Below are 8,294 nucleotides of genomic sequence, written 5' to 3'. Positions count from 1 at the left end.
ATGGTTTTTGTTTTTTTGAGACAGGGTCTCACTCTATCAACCAGGCTGGAGTGCAGTAGCAGTCATCACAGCTCACTGCAGCCTCCATCTCCTGGGCTCAAGCGATCCACCTGCCTCGACCTCTCAAAACGCTGGGATTACAGGCGTGAGCCACCACACCTGGCCCTGGATTTCTTTTTAATAAGGCATACACAGGCCCGGCGTGGTGGCTCACACCTGTAATCCCAGCACTTTGGGAGGCCAAGGAGGGTGAAACACGAGGTCAGGAGTTCGAGACCAGCCTCTACTAAACCACGCCTCTACTAAAAATACAAAAATTAGCCGGGCATGGTGGCACATGCCTGTAGTCCCAGCTACTTCGGAGGCTGAAGCAGGAGAATTGCTTGAACCTGGGAGGTAGAGGTTGCAATGGGGCAAGATTGCGACATTGCACGCCAGCCTGGGAGACAGAGCGAGACTCCGTCTAAAATAATAACAATAATAATAAGGCATACACAAGCATGAACAATTAATTGGGAAAATTAGAGTTATGATCATATTTTAGACCACATTGTGGAACTGGCCATATTTATAAAGTATGTTCATATAGTGAAAGTGTGGAAGGCTATATCTCAAAGGCTTAACAGTGTACTTATCTCAGGCTCATAGAACTATAGGTAAACTTTTTTCCTTTATTTCTTTTTTCTATCATTACATGCCAGTAATAACAATAGCAAACACTAACAGAGCACATACCATGTGCTGAGTGCCTGTTAATTGGCGATGATCATTATGCTGGCTGGGTGCGGTGGTTCACGCCTGGAATCCCAGCACTGTGGGAGGCCGAGGCAGGTGGATTACGAGGTCAGAAGTTCGAGATCAGCCTGGCCAATATGGTGAAACCCCATCTCTACTAAAAATACAAAAATTAGCTGGGCTTGGTGGTGCACACCTGTAGTCCCAGCTGTTCAGGAGGCTGAGGCATGAGAATCACTTGAACCTGGGAGGTGGAGGTTGCAGTGAGCTGAGATCGTGCCACTGTACTCCAGCATGGGCAACAGAGCAAGACTCCATCTCAAAAAAAAAAAAAATTCTCATTATGCTTACTTTTTGGCGGGGGCAGGCAGAGACAGGGACTCTTTCTGTCACCCAGGTTGGAGTTCAGTGTTGCAGTCATAGCTCGCTGCAGCCTTGCCCTCCTCGGCTCAAGCGATCCTCCCACCTCAGCCTCCTGAGTAGCTGGGACTACAGGTGTGCAACATCACATTTGGCTAATTTTTTATTTTTTATTTTGTTTTTTAAAGAGGGGGCCTCCCCATGTTGCCCAGGCTGGTCTCAAACTCCTGGGCTCAAGTGATCTTCCCATCTCGGCCTCCCAAAGTGCTGAGATTATAGGCGTGAGCCACCATGACCAGCTTATACTTACTTTTTACGCGAGGAAACTGAGACACAAGGAAGCTAAGTCAGTGCCCCATGTAGCTCTGAACTCTGTGCTCCCATCCTCTCTGCTGTACTGCCTCCCTGTCTTATCTGTGTATATTAATTTTTCTGCAGTGTGTCGCTTGCATAGTAATAATATAAGAAAAGAAAAAGCAGTGGGATGTATACCTTTTTCCACCCTCCCCCCCGCAAGACGGAGTCTTGCTCTGTCACCCAGGCTGGAGTGCAGTGGCGCGATCTAGGCTCACTGCAACCTCCGCCTCCTGGGTTCAAGTAATCCCCCTGCCTCAGCCTCCAGGGTAGCTGGGATTACAGGCACACACCACCACACCCGGCTAGTTTTTGTATTTTTAGTAGAGATGGGGTTTCACCATGTTGGACAGGCTGATCTCGAACTTCTGACCTTGTGACCTGCCTCCCTTGGCTTCCCAAAGTGCTGGGATTACAGGTGTGAGCCACCGCACCCAGCCTGATATATAGCTTTTATAATCAGAAAAAAAATAATGCTGGCTGGGCATGGTGGCTCATTCCTGTAATCCCAGCTTTTTGACAGGCTGAGATGGGAGGATTGCTTGAGCCCAGGAGTTCCGAGACCAGCCTGGGCAACATAGCAAGACATTGTCTCTACAAAAAAAAATTTTTTTTTTAATTAGCCAGGCATGGTGGCATGCACCTGTAGTCCCAGCTACTCAGGAGGCTGAGGTGGGAGAATTGCTTAAGCTCAGGAGTTTGAAGGTGCAGTGAGCCATGATCGCACTACCGTACTCCAGCCTGGAGCACAGAGTGAGACACTGTCTCTAAATAAATGAAGAAATAAAAATAAAAAATACACCACGTGCTGTGGCTCATGCCTGTAATCCCAGCACTTTGGGAGGCCGAAGCAGGCAGATCACCTGAGGTCACGAGTTCGAGACCAGCCTGGCCAACATGGTGAAACCCCACCTCTACTAAAAATATAAAAATGAGTGCGGGCTTGGTGGTGTGCACCTGTAATCCCAGCTACTCAGGAGGCTGAGATAGAAGAATCACTTGAACCCAGGAGGCAGAGGATGCAGTGAACCGAGATCGTGCCATTGCACTCCACCCTAGGTGACAGAGCCAGACTCTGTCTCAAATAAATAAATAAAATGAAATAAAAAATAATGCTTTGAAACTAAACAAAATGTGCAAATGATGTGTGCTTTCCACACAGCTCCAGAGCTCAGGACTGTGGGTGCCACATGGATGTAGCTACGCCAGAAAGGTCAGGAATTTGTGCCTGCAAAGGCCCAGTTTGCCTCTTCGCCTGGGCTCTCCTGATTTGACAGCAGTGTGGAAGGCCGGGCATGGTGGCTCACGCCTGTAATCCCAGCACTTTGGGAGGCCAAGGCAGGTGGATCGCGAGGTCAGGGGATCAAGACCATCCTGGCTAACATGGTGAAACCCCGTCTCTACTAAGAATACAAAAAATTAGCTGGGCGTGGTGGCGGGCGCCTGTAGTCCCAGCTACTTGGGAGGCTGAGGCAGGAGAATGGCGTGAACCCGGGAGGCAGAGCTTGCAGTGAGCCGAGACTATGCCACTGCACTCCAGCCTGGGCGACAGAGCGAGACTCTGTCTCAAAAAAAAAAAACACAAGACAGCAGTGTGGAAAATCTCCCTTTTCCTTTGGAATCTATAAATATAGGGACCCACAGTTATTAGGGACCTAGCTTTGGTGAGCAGTGGGCCAAAACTGGGAACAGAGATTGGAATGAGAGGGCCTGGCAAACTGAGGGGAAGCTGGGAAAAGAGAAGCAGGGAAAGGGAAAGAGGAAGTGGACAGAGATAGATGAAAAGGAGAAAGAGAATGCTCCAAACTCCCTCCATCCCCAGCTTTCTGAACTTTCAACACTCACCCCATGGGCCTGTTGATGCCACCTCCTACTAGTGCAAACTTCACACATCACCTCCTCCAGGAAGCTGCCAGGCTTGGCTAAGCCTTTTGGCTTGGCTTATCTTTATTATGACACTTACTGCTCATCATTAGGATTTTCTGTCTCCTTCACTGGTCAGTGAGGCTCTCGAGGGAAAGGAGGCCTTTCTGCCTCCCGCTGACCCAGGCCTTGTAGAGAGCAGGAAGACAAAACAGGTGCTCTGAATGAGTGAATAAATCTAGCTTCTCAGGCCATCAGCCTCACCAGCCTGGGAGTAATAGGCTCTGAATTTCGGCAAAGGATGCTCTGGCCTACATCAGTAAAATAGCTAGAACTGTATCCCCAGTCGAAAATATGGGCTGGGTGCGGTGGCTCACGCTTGTAATCCCAGCACTTTGGAAGGCCAAGGCAGGCGGGTCACCTGAGGTCAGAAGTTTGAGACCAGCCAGACCAACATGGTGAAACCCCATCTCTACTAAAAAATACAAAAACTAGCCAGGTGTGGTGGCATGTGCCTGTAATCCCAGCTACTTAAGAGGCTAAGGTGGGAGAATTGCTTGAACCTGGGAGGCGGAGGTTGCAGTGAGCTGAGATCGTGCACCACTGCATTCCAGCCTGGGTGGCAGAGCGAGACTGTGTCTCAGAAAAAAAAAAGAAAAAGAAAATCTTGCATTCACTTGGAACAGTCTTTCAAACGCATGGCCCCTGGATGCTCTCTGTACACAGGGGCATCTCTGTGGGGCAGCCAGTGTCTTGCAGGGATCCAGGGTTGTAGTGTTGACACCCCCTCTCCCTTTCCTTAGACTAAGGACCAAGGAGCAGAGGACAACCCGCACGGTGGGCCAGTGCTACAAACCGCATCACTCTGCTCTCCAGCACCAGAGGTTTGCACCAACCAAGGCTGAGGACCTCTTTCTCTCCTTATTTGGGGTGAATTCTTTTTTCCAGGAGGCAACCTAGACCCCTCATGTGAATAGGCAACATCTGTTTCCCACATGTAGCTAACCATAAGTGAAGGCCACGGGAGGGCACAGCTGAGACTCCAGCCTCAACTCTCACTACCAAAGAAAGAACCTGAAGACCCAGGGGACAAGCTCAGGCTCTGTCCCAGCTCTGCCTCCCTATGCTCCTGGCTGCAGCTGCAACACCCATTTCACCAGACAGAAGAGGGAGTCCCTGGCCCCAGCTCCAGGTTAGACCATCTCACCACAAGCCACTGGAAAGAAAAGGCCCTTACAGCCAAGAGAGCAGGCCCCCAAGAAGGCATCTGCCTCCATCTTGACTACACTCACCTGGGAGCTAAGGAAGCAAGGCGACGGCTGTGGTCCCATAACAGGCAGCTTGAGCTAGTTGTCTGTTGCTGCTTAGTAAATTACCCCAAAATTTAGGGGCTTAAAACAATAATAAGAATTCTATTATTATAAAAATGATACACCTGGCCAGACGCAGTAGCTCACACCTGTAATCCCAGCACTTTGGGAGGTCGAGGAGGGCAGATCACCTGAGGTCCTGAGTTCGAGACCAGCCTGACCAACATGGAGAAACCCCATCTCTACTAAAAATACAAAATTAGCTGGGCATGGTGGTACATGCCTGTAATCCCAGCTACTCAGGAAGCTGTGGCAGGAGAATCACTTGAACCCAGGAGGTGGAGGTTGCAGTGAGCTGAGATCACCCCATTGTACTCCAGCCTGGGCAACAAGAGTGAAGCTCTGTCTCAAAAAATAATAATAATAAAAAGATACACCACAGGCCGGGCATGGTGGCTCACGCCTATAATCCTAGCACTTTGGGAGGCTGAGGCGAGTGGATCACCTGAGATCAGGAGTTTGAGATCAGCCTGGCCAACATGGAGAAACTCTGTCTCTACTAAAAATACAAAAAATTAGCCAGGCATGGTGGTGCACACCTATAATCCCAGCTACCCGGGAGGCTGAGGCAGGAGAATCGCTGGAACCCAGGAGGTGGAGCTTGCAGTGAGCTGAGTTCGTGCCATTGCACTCCAGCCTGGGCAACAGAGTGAGACTCCGTCTCAAAAAACAAAAACAAACAAAAAAGAATGATACACCATGATCACGTAGGATTTATCCCTGGGATGGGATGCCAGGTTGGTTTAATATCTGAAAGTCAATAAATGCAGTATATCACATCAATAAAATAACAAACAAGCCAGGCATGGTGGCACACCTGTGATTCCAGCTTCTCAGGAGGCTGAGACAGGAGAATCGCTTGTGCCCAGGAGGCGGAGGTTGCAGTGAGCCATGATTGTACCAATGCACTCCAGCCTGCGTGACAGAACGAGACTGTATTAAAAAGAAAAAAGAAAGAAAAAAAAAATCTCATTATCATTTAATAGATGGAGAAAAAGCATTTGACAAAATCCAACACCCTTTCATGATAAAACTTTCAAATTGGAATAGAAAGGAACATCCTCCACCTGATACAGGGCACCTATAAAAAACCCACAGCTAGCATCATACTTAATGATGAAAGACTGAACACTTTCTCTCCAAAGTCAGGAACAAGACAAGGATGTCTGCTCCTACCACTTCTATTCAACAGTGTACTGCAGGCTCCAGCCAGGGCAATTAGGACAGAAAAAGAAATAAAAGAGTACCCAAATGGAAAAGGAAGAAGCAAATATAAGCAAGTATAATCCTGTATATAGAAAAGCCTAAGGAATCCACTAAAAGATTATTGGAACTAATAAGTGCATTCAGCAAGGTTGCAAATACAAGATTGATACACAAAGATTATATATATATATATATATATATTTTTTTTTTTTGAGACAGAGTTTTGCTCTTATCGCCCAGGCTGGAGTGCAATAGCACGATCTCGACTCACTGCAACCTCTGCCTCCCGGATTCAAGCGACTCTCCTGCCTCAGCCTCCCGAGAAGCTGGGATTACAGGCACCCACAACCACGCCCGGCTAATTTTTGTATTTTGGGTGGAGACGGGGTTTCACCATGTTGGCTAGGCTGGTCTCGAACTCTCGACCTCAGGTGATTTGCCCGCCTTGGCCTCCCAAAGTGCTGAGATTACAGGTGTAGCTGGGCATGGTGGCGCAAGCCTGTAATCCCAGCTACTCAGGAGGCTGAGGCAGGAGAATCGCTTGAACCCAGGAAGCGGAGGTTGCAGGGAGCGAGATCGTGCCATTGCACTCCAGCCTGGGCAACAAGAGCGAAATTCCATACACACACACACACACACACATACACACACACACACACATTAGCCAGATGTGGTGATGGGCGCCTGTAATCCCAGTTACTCGGGAGGCTGAGGCAGGAGAATCACTTGAACTCTGGAGGCAGAGGTTACAGTGAGCCAAGATCGTGTCATTGCACTCCAGCCTGGGTGGCAGAGTGAAACTCCAAAAAAAAAAAAGAAAGAAGCCGGGCGCGGTGGCTCACGCCTGTAATCCCAGCACTTTGGGAGGCCGAGGCGGGCGGATCACGAGGTCAGGAGATTGAGACCATCCTGGCTAACACAGTGAAACCCTGTCTCCACTAAAAATACAAAAAATTAGCCGGGCGTGGAGGCGGGCGCCTGTAGTCCCAGCTACTCGGGAGGCAGAGCTTGCAGTGAGCGGAGATCGCGCCACTGCACTCCAGCATGGGAGTCAGCGAGACTCCGTCTCAAAAACAAAAAAAAAGAAAGAAAGAAAGAAAGCGGGAAGGCAGGAGAGACAGAGAGAGAGAAAAACAGAGAGAGAGAGAAGGGAGGGAGGGGGGAGGGAGGGAGACAGAGAGAGAGAAGGAGAGGAAGGGAGGGAGGGAGGGAAAAAGAGAAAGAAAAAAGAAAAGAAAGGAAAGGAAGGAAGGAAGGAAGAAGGAAAGAGAAAGCAAGCAAGCAAGCAAGCAAGCAAGCAAGCAAGCAAGCAAGCAGGTCGGCACTGGGACTTCTCCACGGGATGCAGTGATGTGAGTGGACAAACTCAAGTTTCTGGCAGCCCTCGAGGCAAGTCCCAGGTCTGATGCCCGGTGGCCACCAGGTGGCGCTGAAGTCTAAGCTGAGAACCTTCACTAAGGGGCCGTTCCGTGGCAGGGCCGAAGCGTCCACCAAGAGACGCTCCAAGAACACTTGGCTTCAGCGTTTGCCTTCTAGGGGCGACCTTGAAGTGGGGGAGGGGTCTCCAGTGAGAGGCATCAGGCATAGGACCAGGGGCCGGACCCTGCGTTGTCTCTGGCCTCGGTCTTCTCATCTGTCCATAGGGTGTGGATTCACTGTCCAGGTTCCTCTAGCTCAGACCCTTCCTCTGTGGGCAGAATCAGGGCAGGAGGAAGGAGGACGGAAAAGGGGAAGAGGCTCAACTTTCCTCCTCTCTTCTGCTCTCCAGGGCCCTTCCCTTGGGGCAAGGACATGTGGCTTCCGGGGTGTGTTCCTGGTGCCCACACATTCGAGAACTTGCCATTGACAGGCTATAGGCATTATCATTCTGCTGTGATGAGGTGGAAACAATTGTATCCCATCGAAGTCATCTTGCAGGGCTTGGGGAACTCGTGGAAGAGGTGGGGAGGTGGGGAAATCAATCTTTTTTTTTTCTTTTTTTCTTTTCTTTCTTTCTTTTTTTTTTTTTTTTTTTTTTTTGAGACGATGTTTCGCTGTTGTTGCCCAGGCTGGATTGCAATGGCGCGATCTTGGCTCACCGCAACCTCCTCCTCCCGGGTTCAAGTGATTCTCCTGCCTCAGCCTCCCAAGTAGCTGGGATTACAGGTGCCTGCCACTACACCCTGTTAATTTTGTATTTTTAGTAGAGATGGGGTTTCTCCATGTTGGTCAGGCTGGTCTCAAACTACCGACCTCAGGTGATCCACCCGCCTCGGCCTCCCAAAGTGCTAGGATTACAGGCGTGAGGCACCGCGCCCAGCCAGAAATGTATTTTTTTAAACAAACAAATGTGAAAACCGTTATTAGTTCAGGGGCCAAAAAAAAACAAAAAAAACAGGCCATCAGCCATGCTTCCAGCAGGCCAGA

The 8,294-nt window shown here is 49.6% G+C and overlaps 1 annotated feature.

The window, feature by feature from the left end:
* Window positions 7,497-7,998: an enhancer, noted in NCBI's record as "H3K4me1 hESC enhancer chr17:4315987-4316488 (GRCh37/hg19 assembly coordinates)". NCBI's record gives its function as "activates a minimal SCP1, AML or CMV promoter by ChIP-STARR-seq in naive H9 embryonic stem cells {active_cell/tissue: H9 hESC(naive)}" and the evidence as "EXISTENCE:reporter gene assay evidence [ECO:0000049][PMID:30033119]".

The sequence above is a fragment of the Homo sapiens genome, chromosome 17 (genome assembly GCF_000001405.40).
Source record: "Homo sapiens chromosome 17, GRCh38.p14 Primary Assembly".
Taxonomy (NCBI): Eukaryota; Metazoa; Chordata; class Mammalia; order Primates; family Hominidae; genus Homo; species Homo sapiens.
This window is presented reverse-complemented; position numbering and strand designations above follow the sequence as displayed.